Source organism: Homo sapiens, chromosome 5 (assembly GCF_000001405.40).
Source record: "Homo sapiens chromosome 5, GRCh38.p14 Primary Assembly".
In the NCBI taxonomy this organism is placed as follows: domain Eukaryota; kingdom Metazoa; phylum Chordata; class Mammalia; order Primates; family Hominidae; genus Homo; species Homo sapiens.
This window is the reverse complement of record NC_000005.10, coordinates 62,421,137-62,442,271: the sequence shown is the minus strand read 5'-3', so window position 1 is coordinate 62,442,271 and position 21,135 is coordinate 62,421,137. Positions and strand designations below refer to the sequence as shown.

At 41.9% G+C, this 21,135-nt stretch overlaps 1 protein-coding gene across 2 annotated transcripts in view; it reads right to left on the bottom strand.

Annotated features, from left to right (window-relative positions):
- The window catches only part of IPO11 (importin 11), a 215,820-nt gene that overhangs the window by 186,311 nt on the left and 8,374 nt on the right, over positions 1–21,135 (bottom strand). For both annotated transcript variants that reach the window (NM_016338.5, NM_001134779.2), the window contains exon 2: positions 4,855–4,998. In NM_016338.5, the coding sequence (NP_057422.3) occupies positions 4,855–4,992 (138 nt within the window). In that variant the 5' untranslated portion in view covers positions 4,993–4,998. The remainder of the gene's footprint in view (positions 1–4,854; positions 4,999–21,135) is intronic.

Below are 21,135 nucleotides of genomic sequence, written 5' to 3'. Positions count from 1 at the left end.
GCCCACTACAGCATAGATTCAAAGATTCTAAGGAGTCAAGGCCCCGGGGTTAATACATGCTATGAAATAAAACTATTTCATAGTACCCTCCTTATCAAAACAATTATCCTTGTAAATAAGTTTGATAAAGCTGGGCGCGGTAGCTCACGCCTGTAATCCCAGCACTTTGGGAGGTCGAGGCAGGCGAATCACGAGGTCAGGAGATCGAGACTATCCTGGCCAACATGGTGAAACCCCATCTCTACTAAAAATACAAAAATTAGCTGGGCATGGTGGCGCATGCCTGTAATACCAGCTACTCGGGAGGCTGAGGCAGGAGAATAGCTTCAACCAGGAAGGTGGAGGTTGCAGTAAGCCGAGATCGCGCCACTGTGCTCCAACCTGGTGACAGAGTGAGACTCTGTCTCAAAAAAAAAAAAAGTTTGATAGCAGAACATTTTTAAGAGATATAAAGCGGCCGGGCATGGTGGTTCATGCCTGTAATCCCTGCACTCTGGGAGGCCGAGGCAGGTGGACCACCATGAGGTCAGGAGTTCGAGACCAGCCTGGCCAACATGATGAAACCCCATCTCTACTAAAAATACAAAAAATTAGCTGGGTGTGGTGGTGCACATCTATAATCCCAGCTGCTAGTAGGCTGAGGCAGGAGAATTGCTTGAACCCAGGAGGCGGAGGTTGCAGTGAGCAGAGATCGCACCACTGCACTCCAGCCTGGGCAACAAGAGCAAAACTCTGTCCCATAAAAAAAAAAAAAAAAAAAAAAAAAAAAAAAAAAGGCCAGGCACAGTGGCTCATGCCTGTAATCCCAGCACTTTGGGAGGCCGAGGGGGACAAATCACCTGAGGTCAAAGGTTCAAGACCAGCCTGACCAACATGGAGAAATCCCGTTTCTATAAAAATACAAAATTAGCCAGGCATGGTTGCGCATGCCTGTAATCCCAGCTACTTGGGAGGCTGAGGCAGGAGAATCACTTGAACCCGGGAGGGGAGAGGATGTTGTGAGCTGAGATCGCACCATTGCACTCCATCCTGGGCAACAAGAGTGAAACTCTGTCTCAAAAAACAAGAGAGATAAAGCTACATGTGATGTGAATAATCTCAACTCAACATTAACCATTACTCAAAAAAAGTATGCATTATGTTAATCCAAATAATAATAATGACTATAATTATACTATGTCTCAGACCAAAAACAACTCAAATTCCCAAAGGTGACCTCTTAAACCTTGTATAGGAAAACCCCAAAGCCAAAAATGATGTGGAAGTATGTCCTTTGCTATAGAAAAACATTTGTAAGTTTTTTTTTTTGAGATGGAGTCTCACTCCCGTTGCACTGACTGGAGTGCAGTGGCGCGATCTTGGCTCACTGCAACCTCCACCTCCCGGGTTCAAGCGATTCTCCTTCCTCAACCTCCCGAATAGCTGGGATTACAGGCATGCACCACCACTCCCGGCTAATTTTTGTGTTTTTAGCAAAGACGGGCTTTCACCATGTTGGCCAGGTGGGTCTTGAACGCCTGACCTCAGGTGATCCACCTGCCCTGGCCTCCCAAAGTGCTAGGATTACAGGGGTGAGCCACTGTGATCAGCCAAGTATTTTTTAAAAAGGAATGCAGGCTGGGCGCAGTGGCTCACGCCTGTAATCCCAGCACTTTGGGAGGCCGAGGTGGGCAGATTATTTGAGGTCAGGAGTTAGAGACCAGCCTGGCCAACATGGTGAAACCCTGTCTCTACTAAAAATACAAAAAATTAGCTAGGCATGGTGGGGGGGCGCCTGTAATCCCAGCTACTCAGGAGGCGGAGGCAGGAGAATCGCTTGAACCCAGGAGGCAGAAGTTGCAGTGAGCTGAGATCACACCACTGCACTCCAGCCTGGGCAACACAGCGAGACTCCACCTCAGATAAAAAAAAAAAAAAAAAAAGGGGACGTACACTATACAGCCAATTTTAGAAAATCATGTCTAAATACAAAAAAAAAGAAAAAAGATTACAAATATAGTTGTGTAACTCACATTTATTCCTTCGAACCACTGGCAACTGGGTGCAAGTCCCTCTTTTGGGTCTCCATTACAAAACATGCACTTCTTTTACCACATTAATCACATTTGATCTTCACACTTTACATGTCCACCTTCTATACTACATTGAGTCTTGTCTTACGCCTAGAATCTAGCACAGTGCCTGGCAAAGCAGAAACTTCCTAACTTTCTATTGAGCAAATGAGTGAACGAATGGAAGTAATGTGGGAATATTGTGGAAGTTGGTGGATCTCACTCAGTCTATCTCAAATACACTTACAAAAATAAGAAAAGTCAAGCTGCAGATGTCAATCCAAGTAGAAATGTCCTATAAGTACTCTGAAAAACAGGACTAGAACATAAGCCTGAGATCATGTATACAAATACAGGAGTCTCCTGACTAGAATGGACAGCTAGGTAAGATCAAATGTACCTAGATAGCGAGTATAGGGGAAAAAGGAAGACTAAAACACAGCAGCTTTTTAATCTACTGTAAATATAATCTGTTCCATCTAAAAGAAATGTTATATCCCTCTAAGAAGAAAATTACAGGTAATAAAAATAAAGACATTTGGAGGCCAAGGTGGGAGGATCATTTGAGCCCAGGAGTTTGACACCAGCCAACAAAGCAAGACCCTGTCTCTACTTAAAAAAAAAAAAAAGACTGGGCCAGGCGCAGTCGCTCACGCCTGTAATCCCAGCACTTTGGGAGGCCAAGGCGGGCGGATCACAAGGCCAAGAGATTGAGACCATCCTGGCTAACACGGTGAAACCCCATCTCTACTAAAAATACAAAAAAATTAGCCAGGCGTGGTGGCGGGCACCTGTAGTCCCAGCTACTCAGGAGGCTGAGGCACGAGAATGGCATGAACCTGGGAGGCGGAGCTTGCAGTGAGCCTAGATCACCCCACTGCACTCCAGCCTGTGCGACAGAGCGAGACGTCTCAAAAAAAAAAAAAAAAAAAAAAACCTACGCAGTTAGTATTATTAATAAGGTATAGTTATTAATACATAAAAAGACAACAGTTAAGCAATGCCTATTGGTTTTTAAGGTCCAGCAGTAATTAAAATAAGAAATTCTGAAAGTGTTTTATATTTTGGCCAGAAAAAGCACAAGACTAATTATAGAGCATATTCATTTAAATAAGCGTAAGGAGAGTAAAGATACTCAAGAGATTTTTTTTTTTTTTTTTTTGAGATGGAGTCTTACTCTGTCGCCCAGGTTGGAATGCAGTGGTGCAATCTCCACTCACTGCAAGCTCTGCTTCCTGGGTTCACACCATTCTCCTGCTTCAGCCTCCCAAGTAGCTGGGACTACAGGCGCCCGCCACCATGCCTGGCTAATTTTTTGTATTTTTAGTAGAGACGGGATTTCACCGTGTTAGTCAGGATGGTCTCAATCTCCTGGTCACGTGATTCGCCCGCCTTGGCCTCCCAAAGTGCTGGGATGACAGGCATAAGCCACCACACCTGGCCCCGCTGCTCCCCCCCTTTTTTTTTTGAGATGGAGTTTCGTTCTTGTTGCCCAGACTGGAGTACAATGGCACGATCTCAGCTCACTGCAACCTCCGCCTCCTGAGTTCAAGCGATTCTCCTGCCTCAGCCTCATGAATAGCTGCGACTACAGGCGTGCGCCACCACACCTGGCTAATTTTGTATTTTCAGTAGAGATGGGGTTTCAGCATGTCAGTCAGGCTGGTCTCAAACTCCTGACCTCAGGTGATCCACCCGCCTTGGCCTCCCAAAGTGCTGGGATTACAGGAGTGAGCCACTGCACCCGGCCCTACTCAAGAGATTTTCTAAAGATTTATACTATGCCTAAAATTTACAAACATGATGCTAAGATTACATAAAGAATAAGATGTTTTCTTTAGTATCTTTTAAAATCAATCTTTTTTTTTTTACGATTCTGTTACTGAGCCAAACAGCCATCTTTTTTGTTATATTCAGGATAACAAGTCTGACTTTAAACAATTTCCCTTACTGTCATGAACAATATCTTCTTCAATTTAACAAACAACTCAAACTTTTTTAGCCAACAAGTTAAAATATATATGACAACTGCTATCATTTATTTTATTTTGCAAGATATAATAAACAATTTTGCTCTGATTCTATGACCTGGTCACAAATACTGAGTCAGTTTTTAACCCAACGGGGAGCTTTGTTGCCCTGACCAGAAGCTAAACCTCAAACACTAATCAGAGTTCTCAATTTCTCAGAAGAAAAGTATAAGGAAAGTGTTCAACACAAAAAGACTTCTTTCATTCTGGCATTGAGAAAATAATTTTGATTAATTAGTCAAAAACTTTGAACTCCAATAAAGGTTAATTTAAAGCACATATTGTTAATTAATTATACCATTTCCCATTATATCCAAGAAAACATCAGCTGTGTCAAGAGAATGAAATTTTTAGATGAGAAAAGAAAACATTTTAAAGTGAAATACACGGTACACCTGACATTGATGCTGCAATGTGGAGACCTGAACAACTATGACAACATAAATTACCTGGGGTAGGGATAAAGACAAAATATGAAAGAGTGCTACCTAGAGTCCTGATAGTAGACACTTTTAACGTACTAAAACTGAAAATCATCACAGTTTTGCCTTCTGAGCAGATGCTACATATACCTAGCTTATTTTTATATTTATCAATAAATATTTATTTAACACCCTTAAGAAGTCATAAAGTAATAAGATAATGGCAAAGGCATCAGCAGCCAAACATCTGAATCTATTTCACTAAACTACCAATAAAACTAGGGTTTTAAAACAAATTAATGTTGTCTCATTTTATTAAAAAGAAAAGCAAACAATTTTAGAACAACTTACCAGCAACACTGAATAGAAACCTGGCTGTGTCTCCCACTGCTTCAACTGCTCCTCAGCTGGTTTTAACACAGCAGTATCCTGACTGGTGGCCTGTGTTAACACCTGAAGAACAACAGTGCTGGCACTATTGAGATCCATGGAAACCTGGCAATGATAAGTTAACATACTTGAATATGTATTACAAGTAATAAAAAATTAACAGTAAAATAAATGGAGACAAAAAGCTTTCATGTTCTGAATTACTCCCATTCATCTAATCCTTCATGTTCTGCCTTTCTATCTTTTCTAAGTATACCCCATACTCATCCTTAAAATTCATAATCAAATTATTTTTGCTTAAATCAATTTATTCCTAAAGGAAACTCTCTTTCATTGTTCCATAAATAGAAGATAATAAATTGAGGGAGGGGAGATACACACACAAACTTCAAAGTTTCTAAATTCTGAGTAAGTACCATTACGTGCCCAAGACTAAGCATAATGTCTTCTGTCTTCGTTTTAAAAAGGAGATTAATAAGTGTTATAAAAGTATTAAACCATACAGTAAGTAACACCTAACTTTATCCTTGACAAAATCAGAAGGAAGAAAAGAAAACTGCAAAAGAATTGCTTTGACTTGTTAGTAAAGTACTCTCCAACATCATCTTACGTGCCACCAATGGTGCATCTCCAAATCATTTTAAGAAACATACAAAATGAAATGCTATGGGGAAAAAAGCCAAACTGACCTATTAAACAAAAATCTAAAACCTAAGTCAGAAAGGATCTTAAGGGCTGGGTCATCTAATCCTATACCATGTAGCTGAAGCCATTCAACAAACACACAATTTCTTGATTTTGTTGAATTCTCCGGGATTCTGTTTCTAATCACCCCCAAAATTGTATATACAATTCTATACTTAGCAAGTATGTATAGTTATTCACAATATACACGTACAAAATATAAGGATTAAAATTGAAAGCTAAAAATATTGACAGAAAATAAGTCGAAGTTCTCAGTGCAGGGGTGACAGGGAATAGCGTTGTACTGTATTGATACAGCTTAGTGACAGTGGCTATCTCTGTGACCGAAGAATGTTCCAGACAGTAAAAGTCTGAAAGTTATTAGCCTATAAAGAATATAGCCAAAGCAAATGAATTCCTTTGTTAAAATAATTACAATTAAATTGCAGTGAAATGGCAAGATTCCAAATGTTGATTCAACAAGAAATCTGACCTAGATTACCTTTTAGGGAAAATCAACCATTTCAAAACCTATGTAAGTAAAGCAGGGCTAATCAAAAACACAAAAATTTCATTGTACCATCTTAAAAAGGGCCTAATAACTAGAATCTGAAAAATACCAAGTTACTGATAGAGTTGGATTAAGATTTGATTTGATTTTGATTTATTTTTTGAGACAGAGTCTCACTCTGTCACCCAGGCTCGAGTGCAACAGCACAATCTCAACTCACTCCACCTCCCGGGTTCAAGCGATTCTCCTGCCTCAGCCTCCCCAGTATTTGGGATTACAGGCGCACACCACCAAGCCCAGCTAATTTTTGTATTTTTAGTAGAGACGGGGTTTCACCACGTTGGCCAGGCTGGTCTCAAACTCCTGACCCCAGGTGATCCGCCTGCCTCAGCCTCCCAAAGTGCTGGGATTACAGGCATGAGCCACCATGCCCGGCCAGATTGAGATTTTTTTTTTTTTGAGACAGAGTCTTGCTCTGTTGCCCAGGCTGGAGTGCAGTGGCACGATCTCGGCTCACTGCAACCTCTGCCTGCCAGGTCCTTGGCCACCCAAAGTGCTGGGATTACAGGCGCGAGCCACCATGCGCAGCCCAGATTAAGATTTTAAATTTCTGTCACCCAGGCTGTAACACAGTGACGTGATCACTGCTCACGGCAGCCGCGATCTCAAGTGATCTTTCCACCTCAGCCTCCTAAGTAGCTGGGAACACAGACATGCACCACCGGGCCCAGCTAATTTTTTTTTATTTTTTATTTTTTGTAGAGACAAGGTCTCGCTTTGTTGCCCAGGCTGGTCTCAAACTTCTAGGCTCAAGCAATCCCTCCCCAAGTGCTGGGATTACAGGCATGAGCCATGGCATCTGGCCTAATTTTACATTTTCTAGCAGCCACGTTAAGTAGTAAAAAGAAGTATGTAAAAATTAATCCTAATATATATATTTTACTACAGCTGCTCTGATATATATATATATACACATATATATACATATATATACATATATATACATATATACATATATATACATATATATACATATATACATATATACATATATATACATATATACATATATACATATATATACATATATACATATATACACATATATATACATATATATACATATATATATACACATATACATATATATTTTTTTTTTGAGACAGCGTCTCACTCTGTTGCCTAGGCTACAGTGCAGTGGTGCAATCTCAGCTCATGGCAACCTCTGCCTCCCGGGTTCAAGTGATTCTCCTGCCTTAGCCTCCCAAGTAGCTGCGACTACAGGCGCGAGCCACCACGCCCAGCTAATTTTTGTATTTTTAGTAGAGACTGGGTTTCACCATATTGGCCAGGATGGTCTCAAACTCCTGACCTCAAATGATCCGCCTGCCTCGGCCTCCTGAAGTTCTGGCATTACAGGTGTAAGCCACTGCACCAGGCCTAATAGTGTATTTGACTCAATACATCCAAAATGTTATCATTGCAACATGTAACCAATATTTTTTAAATATACTGAGATATTTTACTTTTAATACTAAATCTTCAAAATCCTGTGTATATTTTACACTTAAAGCACATCTCATGGCCAGGTGTGGTGGCTCACACCTGTTAATCCCAGCACTTTGGGAGGCTGAGGCAGACAGATCGCCTGAGCCCAGGACTTCAAGACCCACCTGGGCAACAGAGCAAAATCCCGTCTCTACAGAAAATACAAAAATTACCCAGGTGTGGTGTGCACTTGTAGTCCCAGCTACTAAGGAGGCTAAGGTGGGAGGATCACCTGAGCCCAGGGAGGTCCAGGATACAGTGAGCTGTGATCACGCCACTGCACTCCAGCCTGGGCAACAGAGAAACCCTGTCTCAAAACAAACAAACAAAAAAAAAGACTGACTGCAACTGAGTGTGTCACTTTAGACTGGGTATTCAGTGAAGGCTTCTGAGAAGTGACATTTATGAGAGACGTGAATGACAAGAGAAACCCATGCAAGGATCAGAAGGCAGAGCTTCAGACGGGGAAAACAACTAGAAAAAAGGCCTTGCGATTAGAAACAAACTGAAGAAGGCCAACATGACTGACACTTAGTGAGAAAAGGGGAAAGTGGCGGAAAATGAAGTTGGAGAAAAGGGCAGGAACAAATGGGGCAAAATAAGGTGTCTAGGCTTTTCATATAGGTATAAAAATAGACGCAGGATAGGAAGAACATAAATATATTGCTATCAACATATGAAAGGAAAAAAGCTCTACCAGAACTCATCCTCATCCCACCCCCTCCACCAAAGAAATAAAGATAAAAGTCACAGCCTTGCTTTGGGCTATTCCTAAAAAAATCACTGACTACTGCCAACCCTCAAAGCAATTTTCCCCTAGAGCAAAGATTGTGCAGAGAACATAAATGCACACAGCAAAGCAATCCTTACCCTCACCATTTTTCCTGTTCTAGTGGAATCTGCTAGAGTTTCCCATCCCTGCCTCCTTCCAGTATCTGCCCCATCCAGGTCCTCCCCTTGCTTTGATCCTTGCTCCTAAGAAGCCCATCCAGTCTGGCGGGGAAGAGCTCAGTTCATACATTTTTGGGGCACCTATTTTGTGCCAGACACTGCAGTAGTTGTTAGGATAAGAATCAGAAGAGTCTCTGTTGTCTACCCAAAATCTGTGGGCTACTGGGGTGAGAGGCAGAGGAAGCTACTCTTATTGTTAAAACAAATTGTGAAAAGTACGTTTCTACCATACCAGTTGGCGCCCAGAGTATATCTCCCACACAGAACCAATATACGAACGTGCCTACAGTTGGAAACAAAAATTCTCCTTAAAAGAAACAAGTAAACAAAAGAAAACTCAGCATCTTTACCTGCTACTAACAGATTTATCAGACCTGCAGTGACTTCAGTTTCAGCCATACATAACAATGTTCTTCAGAATATTTGTATTATCTGTGTTTGTCATTAGTTTTAGGGCATTTCACACATACAATAACCCCAGCAAGTCTACTAAATGCCAACACTTTAAGTAGATTGACTTTAAAAAAAAAACAAAAAACAAAAAGGTGCCAAAATTAGAGTAAAAACCGAAGAAGAGTGTTCCAAAATAAAAAGGTTCCCACAGTGAAATAATTTATTCAGGCATGGGTAAATAACCCATGCTAAAACCATTAAATGAAAGAACAGTTGTTGGGGAACAGAATGTTCCCAATGTGTCCAAGTATCACTCCACAGATTACTTGCTAATTGTAATGAAGAAACAAATCTTTAAAATAAAGAAATCCATCGTCAGTCGCCAGCTTAACCAACAGAGTAAATTCAGTTATCAACAACAACAACACAACTTGACCTTAAGTGCCTCCTGATATGATGAAATACGCAGCCCACAGCCTCGCCTCTGAAACATCAAAAACGGTCAACATTAATCTAATCAAGACTGGGCCTAACTTCCAGTTTAAAAGAATTAGAAGAGAAAGAATATTTCTGGAATGATGACATAAGTAGCTCCACAGACCCTCTCCTCAGGGATACAACCCTAACTGGTGAAAATTATAAAAAGCTCAAAGTCTCTGGAAAATGTCTTAACCGCATACAGCAAATACAGAAACATCTATGTGACAAATATTACTAAATCTTGGAAGGAACAGTAAGAATCTGTGGCTTTTGAGCCACAAACCCAGCCCTACCCCACAATGTGAGGAAGCTCTACTCCAGGGACATAACAGCCAAGAACACAGGGCTCTCTCTCACCCTAACTCCCAGCCAAGGGCTACGGTTTCTCCCCAGAATGGGTAGCCAGCCAGCCAGTATTTCTCATACACCCCAGCTATATGCTGCAGAAATTCTGTACCAGGCAAACACAGCTAGAGGTCTAGGGCTCTCTTCTTCCATCCAGGCACCACTCCTGCGGCAGAAGCTCTACCACAGGGCAGCAGGCAAAGAATAGTGAGCCTCTATCACGTCCACAACAGCTTGCTCAAAGAGCAGAGGTACCACACCAGGATAAATAAAGTACCCAAATCAAGTTTGGCCGTTTGCCACTCAGCAGTCAAAGTACGGTGTGGTAAAAGGAAAGCAGCTTTTACTTAAGTGTTAGTAAATGGGAAAATAGCCCAGCTCAAGCCTCAAAGGAACCATTTCAGTTTTTTCGGGCTGAGTGAAGGGGTTTAAGAAGAAAAACTTGGTATAAAAAACATACGGGAGTGGTGCAGCAGGGTACAGGTCTGCATGCCGTATGTATGTATGTATGTATGTATGTATGTATGTATGTGAGTCTTGCTCTGTCACCCAGGCTGGAGTGCAGTGATACAATCTCAGCTCACTGCAACTTCTGCCTCCTGGGCTCAAGCGATTCTTGTGCCTCAGCCTCCTAAGTAGCTGGGATTATAGGCGGGCACCACCAAGCCTGGCTAACTTTTATATTTTTAATAGAGCTGGGTTTCACCATGATGACCAGGCTGGTCTCAAACTCCTGGCCTCAAGTAATTCGCCTACCTCAGCCTCCCAAAGTGCTGGGAATACAGGTGTGAGCCACTGTGCCTAGTCTGCATGCCTTGTTTCAATGGCTATCTTGAGTAAGCCGGTGGTACAGCTGGCATCATCTTGACTTTAGCCTGGTGGGGGTAGACTATCTGTAACTCCTCCTAAGCAGGAGGATTCCACAGCTGAATCTCTATGCCTGATTTGTTTTAAAATTAGCCCCTGGAAAAATCGCTTGAACTCAGGAGGTAGAGGCTACAGTGAGCTGAGATCACCCCACTGCACTCCAACCTGGGTGACAGAGCAAGACTTTGTCTCAAACAAACAAACAACAAAAAATTGCCCTGGAATTTCTAAGCAAGCGCACAATTAGATAAGTGAGTACTGTGCACAGAAGTGCCTGGTGGGAAAGGAAGGAAAATGAAGAGTTTTAAAATACACTGTAAGGCCCAGATGTGGTAGCTCACACCTGTAATGCCAGCACTTTGGGAGGTCGAGGTGGGCGGATCACCTGGGGCCAGGAGTTCAAGACCAGCCTGGCCAACACAGCAAACCCCATCTCTACTAAAAATATAAAAAATTAGCCAGGCGTACCGTAGCACATGCCTGTAGTCCCAGCTACTCAGGAGGTTGAGGCACAAGAATCACTTGAATCCAGGAGGCGGAGGTTGCAGTGAGGAGAGTGCACCACTGCACTGCAGCCTGGGTGACAGAGGAGACTCTGTCTCAAAAAATAAAATAAGGCCAGGCACGGTGGCTCACGTGGCTCACACCTGTAATAGCATTTTTGGAGGCTGAGGCGGGAGGATCACCTGAGGTCAGGAGTTCAAGAACAGCCTGGCCAACATGGTGAAACCCCATTTCTACTAAAATTCAAAAAATTAGCCAGACGTGATGGTGCACGCCTGTAATCCCAGCTACTCGGGAGGCTGAGGCAGGGGAATCGTGTGAACCCAGGAGGCAGAGGTTGCAGTCAGCCAAGATTGCGCCACTGCACTCCAGCCTCGCGACAGAACAAGGCTCTGTCTCAAAAAAAAAAAAAAAATTAAGTAATTAAATTAAATTAAATTAAATACACTGCTAAACTACTTTCTGAGATTAAGGGGCCTGGCATGGCGGCTCTCACCTGTAATCCCAGCATGTTGGGAGGCTGAGGCGGGCAGTTTGCCTGAGCTCAGGAGTTCAAGACGAGCCTGGGTAACATGGCGAAAACCCATCTCTACCAAAAATAGAAAAAGTTAGTCAGGTGTGATGGCACACGCCTGTGGTCCCAGCTACTTGGGAGGCTGAGGTGAGAGGACTGCTTGAGCCCTGGAGGTCAAGGCCCACTACTACTGCTATAATCAAAAAGATAATGATCCGATCAATGGTGTCCAGCTTTTTAAAAGAAGATAATGAGGCATCAGTAAGGAGAAACTGCAACCCTCATGCATTGCTGGTGCAAATGTAAAACAGCGACTTTGGAAAAGTCTGGCAGTTCCTTAAAATGTTAAACACAGAATAACATATAACATAGCAATTCTACCTTTGGACATACAGTCAAGAGAAATGAATATGTCCATACAAAAACTCGTATACAGATATTCACTGCAACATTATTCATAATAGCCAAAAACTGACAACTCAAATATCCATCATGTGATGAATGGGTAAATAAAATGCGTATTTCAGCCAGGTGCAGCAGCTCACGCCTATAATCCCAGCACTTTGGGAGGCCAAGGTGGGCAGATCCCGAGGTCCAGAGTTCGAGACCAGCTTGGCCAACATGGTGAAAACCCATCTCTACTAAAAATATAAAAATCAGGCCAGGCGCAGTGGCTCATTCCTGTAATCCCAGTACTTCGGGAGGCTGAGGCAGGAGGATCACAAGGTCAGGAGATCGAGACCAGCCTGGCTGACACGGTGAAACCCCAACTCTACTAAAAATACAAAAAATTAGCTGGGTGTGGTGGCACATGCCTATAGTCCCAGCTACTCGGGAGGCTGAGGCAGGAGAATCGCTTGAACCCGGGAGGCAGAGGTTGCAGTGAGCCAAGATCGCACCACTGCACTCCAGTCTGGACGACAGAGCGAGACTCTGTCTCAAAAATAAACACATACACACACACACACACACACACACACACACACACACACACGAAAATCAGACGGGCATGGTGGTGTGCGCCTGTAATTCGTTACTCGGGAGGCTAAGGCATGAGAATCACTGGAACCCAGGAGGCGGAGGTTGCAGTGAGCCAAGATCACGCCACTACACTCCAGCCTGGGCCACACAGTGAGACTCTGTCTCAAAAACGAAAATTAAATTAAATTAAAATAAATAAAATAAAATGTGGTATTTCCATACAATGAAGTATTATTTCACCTAAAAAGGAATGAAATCCTGTAACATACTAAAACATGAATGAGCCTTGAAAACATCACACTAAGCAGAAGAAGCCAGTCACATAAAACCACAAGCTGCATGATTCCCATTTATATGAAATATGAAGAACAGGCAAATTTATAACACAAAGAAGTAGATTAAGTGGTTCCCTAGGCTGGGGAATTGGGGGGAAATGTGGAGCAACTGCTATTTGGAACGATGAAAATGTTCTAAAACTGACTGTAATGATGGTTGCACAACTCTGTGAATATACTAAAAACTACTGAATTGTATACCCTTTTCAGTGCGTGAATTACACGGACTGTAAATTATAGCTTAATAAAGCTGGTTTTTTTAAGTGCTTTGATTATGTAAATGTCAAAATCCACAAGAGATGGCCATGTGCAGTGGCGCAAGCGTAATCTCGGCACTTTGGGAGGTTTAGGCAGGAGGACAGCTTCAGTCCAGGAGTTCGAGGCCAGCCAGGGAAGCATAGTGAGACCTCAACTCTACAAAAAATAAAAAACAAAAAGTTTAGCCAGGAGTAGTGGCACACACCTGTAGTCCCAGCTAGCTACTCAGGAGGCTGAGTGTGGAGGAGCCCAGGAGTCTGACTTGCAGTGAGCTAAGACTGTGCCACTGCACTCTAGCCCAGGCGACAAAGTGAGACCCTGTCTCTAAAAAAAAAATGTTTTCAATCTTTTTTTAATGTGACTTATAGCCAGGCGCGGGGGCTCACGCTTGTAATCCCAGCACTTTGGGAGGCTGAGGTGGGTGGATCACGACGTCAGGAGTTCAAGACCAGCCTGACCAACATGGTGAAACTCCGTCTCTACTAAAAATACAAAAATTAGCCAGGTGTAGTGGCGTGCATCTGTAATCCTAGCTACTCAGGATGCTGAGACAGGAGAATCCCATGAACCCGGGAGGCGGAGGTTGCAGTGAGCTGAGATCGCACCACGGCACTCCAGCCTGGGCGACACAGTGAGACTCCGCCTCAAAAAAATAAATAAATAAAATGTGACTTATATAGGCCAGGCATGGTGGCTCACACCTGAATCTCAGCACTTTAGGAGGCCAAGATGGAAGGATCACTTGAGCTCAGGAGTTCAAGATCAGCCTCGGTAACATAATGACACCATGTCTCTTTAAAAAAAAAAAGTGTCTACGGTTTCAACAACAATTGATGTTAACTCAGGGCCAAAAAGATCAAGAAATTAAAGCAAGGTGAAAGAATGTAAGACTTCTGGCATAAGACAAGAAGGTTCCAAAGATACTAGTGTGTACTACAACATCTGGATTCAAATGAGTACTGCAACATCTGGATTCATTTCAGTTTCTCAGCAGAAGTCTGGCAGTTTGGACAAGAAAATTCTTTTCTGTGCATGCATTACAGGTTGTTTAGCATATCTGTCCCTGCACACTATACGTTATTAATACCTCAAACAGATTGACTAAAGATGCTTCCATATATTTCCCAAATACCTTCAGCTAAAAGAACCACCAGGGCTACTGATGTATTCCCTATGACACCAGCCCCCAACCTTTTTGGTACCAGGGACTGGTTTCATGGAAGACAATTTTTCCACAGATGGGGCAGGGCAGTGGAAGAGGGGTAAAGGGCAGGGGGGGATGGTTTCTGGATGAAACTGTTCCACCACAGATCATCAGGCATTAGTGAGATTCTCATAAGGAGTATGCAACCTAGATCCTTTGCATGTGCAGTTCACAACAGGGTTTGTGCTTTTATGAGGATCTAATGCTGCTGCTGATCTGACAGGAGGTGGACCTCAGGTAGTAATGCTCACTCTCCACCCACTGCTCACCTCCTGCAGTGTGGCCCAGTTCCTAGCAGGCCACGGACTGACTGATACTGGTCCATGGCCTGAGGGCTGGGGACACCTGCCCTATGACACTTCATGCAGACTGTCAAAAACTGGTTTGTTTGGGAGGAAAAAATGCACAACAAAATATATGTGACATCAAGGAGAGAAGCTATTTGCTTGCTTTCTCTTCCCTACTCCTAAAACATCAAATCTACTCAAGAGTTTCAAAGGACCTACAAACTTCTGCTTGGAGTTTTCAAAAAACCTGCAAACTCCTGCTTGTTAGAAATGCATCTGGAGGGCACGGTGGCTCACGTGTGTAATCCCAGCACTTTGGGATGCCGAGGCAGGTGGATCACCTGAGGTAAGGAGCTCGAGACCAGCCTGGTCAATGTGGTGGAACTCTGTCTCTACTAAAAATACAAAAAAATGAGCCAGGTGTGGTGGCGGGCGCCTGTAATCCCAGCTACTCGGGAGGCTAAGGCAGGAGAATCGCTTGAAACCAGGAGGCAGAAATTGCAGGGAGCCGAGATCGCGCCATTGCACTCCAGCCTGGGCATCAAGAGCAAAACTCCGTATCAAAAAAAAAAAAAAAAAAAAAAACAGAAAGAAAAAAGAAGTGCATTTTGAACTACAAGTTTAAACCTGCCTAAACCAATCATAACTTAAAAATATTCTCTCTTAGTCTGTTTTGTAACTAGAGAAATATATATAAAAAAATAAAAATTAAAATATAAAATATATATATAATACTATACAAAATAAAAACACCTACAAAAAGACAAGCAGTAAACACATCAAATTATAAACAATAGTTGTGTTAAGAAAGCTCCAGGGGTTATCATTCTTATAGTCAACACACTTTAATAATGAAAAAATACATTTTTTAAGGCCAAGAGTTTTCATTTTACATCTGCTTAAATTTCCATAGGAATTAGATATTTGCTTTATTTCTCTTCCTTTCTCCAAAAACATCCCAACTTCTCAAACAGCTGCAAATCATTACGTATTTCTCTTGTTAAGCACATATCAAGTAGGTAATGTAGTCAATAACTGCACTCTCATGAAATTTCAGGAGAGGAAGTTTACAAACCTAGTCTTCAGTAGCACAAGTAGGTAAGCAATAGTTTGTTTGTTTGTCTGTTTTGAGACAGAGTCTCACTCTTGTTGCCCAGGCTGGAAGACTATGGCACAATCTGAGCTCACTGCAAGCTCCACCTCCCGGGTTCAAGCAAATCTCCTGCCTCAGCCTCCCAAGTAGCTGGGATTACAGGTACCCGCCACCATGCCCAGCTAATTTTTGTGTTTTTAGTAGAAACTGGGTTTCACCATGTTGGGTAGGCTGGTCTTGAACTCCTGACCTCAGGTGATCCACCCGCCTTGGCCTCCCAAAGTGCTGGGATTACAGACGTGAGCCACCACGACCAGCCGGTAAGCAACAATTTTGTCATATTATCTGGATTTGTGAAGGCAGTGTTTACCAAGAGTCAATTCTCCTCACCCAGGGGACTCTGAGTCTTATAATCAAACAGCAGGGGTTTTATGTTTTGTTTATTCTCAAATAGCAGTATAGCTCCAAATAGTCATGTCTATTAGGTACTTAATGTTCTTACTATTTGGTGTTTATAAAGACGATAGTTTAAAATACTTAAACAGTCTTGGAAAAATCAAACTAACCAAAACAGTCTAATGTATTATTTACTTTCCATTAGGCTCCACCTATTATATACACTTCTATATATTGTGTACACTTGTATCACATAAAAGGAAAATACATTTGTATTTGTTAGCAATCGTATCTTTACTTTCATTTCTAAGTCTTCTCCATACCAGTTCCCACATCAACTTGCTTCTTTCTTTACCGGATAATGTACTATTGTTTCTATCATTCCTAAAGCTGTAAAAATAATTTGAATTGGCCAGGCGTGGTGGCTCACGCCTATAATCCCAGCACTTTAGGAGGCCGGGGCGGGTGGATCACCTGAGGTCAGGAGTTTGAGACCAGCCTGAACAACATGGTGAAACCCTGTCTCTACTAAAAATGCAAAAATTAGCCAGGCATGGTGGCGCTCGCCTGTAATCCCAGCTACTCGGGAGGCTGAGGCAGGAGAATCGCCTGAACCCAGGAGGCGGAGGTTGCAGTGAGCCGAGATTGCACCATTGTACTTCAGCCTGGGCAACAACAGCAAAACTCCGTCTTGAAAAAATAAAATAAAATAAATTGAATAGTCTGCAGTGCCACCTGATGGTAAGAAGTACCACATTCCAAAGAGTATGTTCCTTTCCCCCCAAGGAGGGTTGGAGGAAGCGAGGAACTTTAGAATTCTCAATGACCATCTGAGCAAGACAACCATCTGGAAATGTAACAGGGATTACAGGGTTTAGGAGGATAGAGCAAAGAATGCTGAGCTCCTGAGAGAAAGAAATGAATGGGAGCCTAGAGAGTAATGCAATGCGAGAAAGATGAGATTCAAAACAAAAACAAAAACCTCACCTTGAGGCAAAATATGACACCTAAGAACTTCCTTACAGCACTGCTTCTACTTCTATAGTTAGATATTGCATCACTCTACCAAAAGAAAATTTGAGGTAAAGACATGAATGTGTTTTTGAGTTCTACTCAAGGTAAATATGAAGTAATTTTTAAAAATATAATAATAAAGGCAATGTCTAGCATAAAGGAGACTGAGAAACCATGGAACAAGAACAGACAAGAGTGACAGGAGTAAAGGAATAAAATCACCTACTGATTCACTACAATAATTCCACATTTAAGATAAGAACAAATATTCAGATTGGGTGTGGTGGCTCACGTCTGTAATCCCACCAATTTGGGAGGCAGAAGCAGGAGAACTGCTTGAGCCTAGGAGTTCAACACCAGCCTGGCAGTCCGGGCAACATGGCAAGACCCCATCTCTACAAAAAATAAAAATTAAAAAAAAAAAAAAAACCTTAGCCAGGTGTGGTGGCATGCACCTATGGTCCCAGCTACTCAAGAAGCTGAGGTGGCAGAGGCAGAGGTTGCAGTGAGCCAAGATCACGCCATTGCACTCCAGCCTGGGCAACAGAGAGAGACTTCTTCTCAAAAAGAAGCTGAGCCAGGCGCGATGGCTCACACCCGTAATCCCAGCACTTTGGGAGGCCCCGGCGGGCGGATCACGAGGTCACAAGATCGAGACCATCTTGGCTAACATGGTGAAACCCCGTCTCTACCAAAAATACAAAAAATTAGCCGGGCGTGGTGGCGGGCACCTGTAGTCCCAGCTACTCGGGAGGCTGAGGCAGGAGAATGGCGTGAACCCGGGAGGCGGAGCTTGCAGTGAGCTCGGATTGCGCCACTGCACTCCAGCCTGAGCGACAGAGCAAGACTCCATCTCAAAAAACAAAAAAAAAAAAGCTGAGGTGGGAGGATGACTTGAGCCCAGGAGGTTGAGGCTGCAGTGAGCCATATTCACACCACTGCACTCCAGTCTGGGCAACAGAGTGAGACCATGTCTCAGAAAAAAAATCATGATCTATAGCCCAAGTCTACAAAGAGAAGAACAAGAGGCAGAAAATATATCACTGGGGAATCATGGATAGGAAATACAAGCAAACTGTTAAACTGCCCAGAGTCAAAAGCAAACTAGAGAAATACAATATGCCAAAGACAAGAAAGAAATTAATTTCTGTGAAGACCGGGGAAGAGTTCTACAATAATCAAAATAGAAAAGTGAGTATATTAGAAAACTTAAAGAAATGAAGTTTATTATTTTGAGAAACCAAAATCTTAAGGGCTGCTTGCCAAAAAAACAAACAAACAAACCTGAATCTGACCAAGCTTCTAGATCTTCTATCAATGTAACTAGAGAAGTATGTGGGAGGTAAGACGAAATGAAGTTGATAATTGTTAAAGCTGGATGATGGCTAGATGGGGGTTCATCATAAAATTCTGTCTACTTTTATGTATGCTTTTTAAAATGGCCGCTAACGGACACAGAGATCACTAAAGTTGCTGTTCATGGTAGACATCACCTCCTGAGGAAATCTTTAACTGCTGTAGACAGTAAAGCGCTCCTTCCTCCATGCTACTGTTCTGCATAGTACACACTTCTATTGCTGTACTTACTTCCTTGTTTACTTCTATCTCATCTCCAAATCATGAACTGTTTAAAGGAAAGAATGATGTTTTACTCATCTATAAATGCCATTACCTAGCACAGTGTGAAGGATGTTCAGTAAATGTATGATCAACTAAACAGTAACAGAAATTATGATTTCTCAGACAGAAGACAGAAAAGGTAAGAGACAGAGGTCCAAGAACAACAATATGGAATACAAATTTTATCAGAGTAAAGACAGAAATATCTACAAAAAACACTGCAAGAGTAAATAGTGTGCTGAATGGCTGAAAAAAATGAATGAATGTATGAACAGTCCATTCAGTATCTTCCTATACTGAAATGGAGCATATCAAGCCAACAAAATTTAATAATACTTTTCACTGGGAATATCTAACACCCTTTTTTCTAATCCTGCGCTCTCCAATCCCCTTTCTGATATTTTCTTGCTTTATCATTAGGCTTTTCCATATTTATTAATTCAATAAATATATACTGAACACCTGCAAATGCCAGACACTAGTCTAGGCACTTGAGATACATCGATTAACTAAAAAGACAAAAAAAAATCCAAGACTTGTGAAGCATATTTTATAGTGGGGAGACAAATAAATGGGAAACAAATAATAAATGGGTGAAGTATAAAGTATGTAAGAAGACAATAGACAGGGGAGGCAGACCTGTGAGAGGAAGACCTGTCCGAAAAACTTGAGTATTTCTGTCTCACCGGGAGTTTTTAGTAAAATGGCACTGATAAACTGCAATAAGTCTCTTGCCTGTTTGGTATATACAAGAGTTCCCCGTGACTAATCTCCCCCTAATAAGAAAAGTTATACATTATCCTAAACAATATTGACACCCCCTACCTGATCAGTGCCCAGCTGTGAGGTACCAACTACTGTCAACCATCACCCTCTGGTGTCTCCTTAGCTGAAAAACAAAAATACATGTCTGTACAAAACCCACTAAGGAACAGCAGTTATGCTTATTGCTTTTAAAGGTCCTTCTCTGGCTGGGCAGTGGCTCACACCTGTAATCCCAGCACTTTTGGAGGCCGAGGCAGGCAGATCACCTGAGGTCAGGAGTTTGAGACCAGCCTGGCCAACATGGTGAAACCCCATTTCTACTAAAAACACAAAAATTAGCTGAGCATGGTGGTGGGCACCTATAATCCCAGCTACTAGGGAGGCTGAGGCAGGAGAACTGCTTGAACCCAGGAGGTGGAGGTTGCAGTGAGCCAAGATGGTGTCACTGCACTCCAGCCTGGGCAACAAGCAAGATTCCATCTCAAAAAATAAATAAATAAAGTTCCTTCTTGGATATGAAAAAAAATAGGAAGGAAAAGCTATAAAACTGATTTTGATTAAGGCACTGAATAGAGATAACAACACAGCCTAGATTAAATTTAACAGACTATAATTTATAACTAGCAGTTAGGCAAAACTTTTTGCTGAGTGTAAGAGATCATCAGTCCTCTCTCCAAATATAGACATCTTCGATTGGTAGTTTCCATTTACTGGTTGAAGACATCACTGTCTATAAAGCTGTATCTTATAAGAATCTCATTCTTGCTATAAAGAGCTCAGCCTGTCATTGTATTTATAAAAACCCATTTGTTCAAACATGCATGTGCTGTATGCCAAGTAATAATCCCACAGTTAATCACTATTCTACATTTTATCATTAAAATAATTTTTCTCTCAGTTGTGAGTCCATATAAGTTAACAAGTAAATAAATATAATTTTCCTATCACCTTGGAGCCACCCATATCAGTTCTCTACACAGTTTAAGTATTTTGTTTTACTGACCAAGACACTGTGGCCAAAAGATAAGGAGATAAACTGACTTCTCTAAGGTCACAGGCTCATTAGTGACATTTCTAGAACTTTAAATGTAAGTCTCCTGTCCCCACCCAGTACTCCCGAAAGATTAAACACTTTTACTTTTGTTCAGTGCTGTCCATTAATATCTCAAGTGAAATTAACTGGGAATTTTTAGCTTTAGACTTGAGAAAGAACAAAAATACATCAAGTTCACAGCCTATCTGCCTAATGAATTATACTACATCAGAACTGAAGACTGAAATTGATGGAGTCATTGAAGATACCCTACACAAGGTTAACAAGGTGAAGATTAAGAGAAGAAATGTTATTAATACATAACTAAAACAAAGGTGTATTATACAGAATATACAAGGAACCCTTGTGAATCAACAAGACAAATATATAAGAAAAGTGAACAAAGGGTGTAAGCAGAAAATATATAGAAAAGAAGAGCTAAATGTTTAATTAATATCA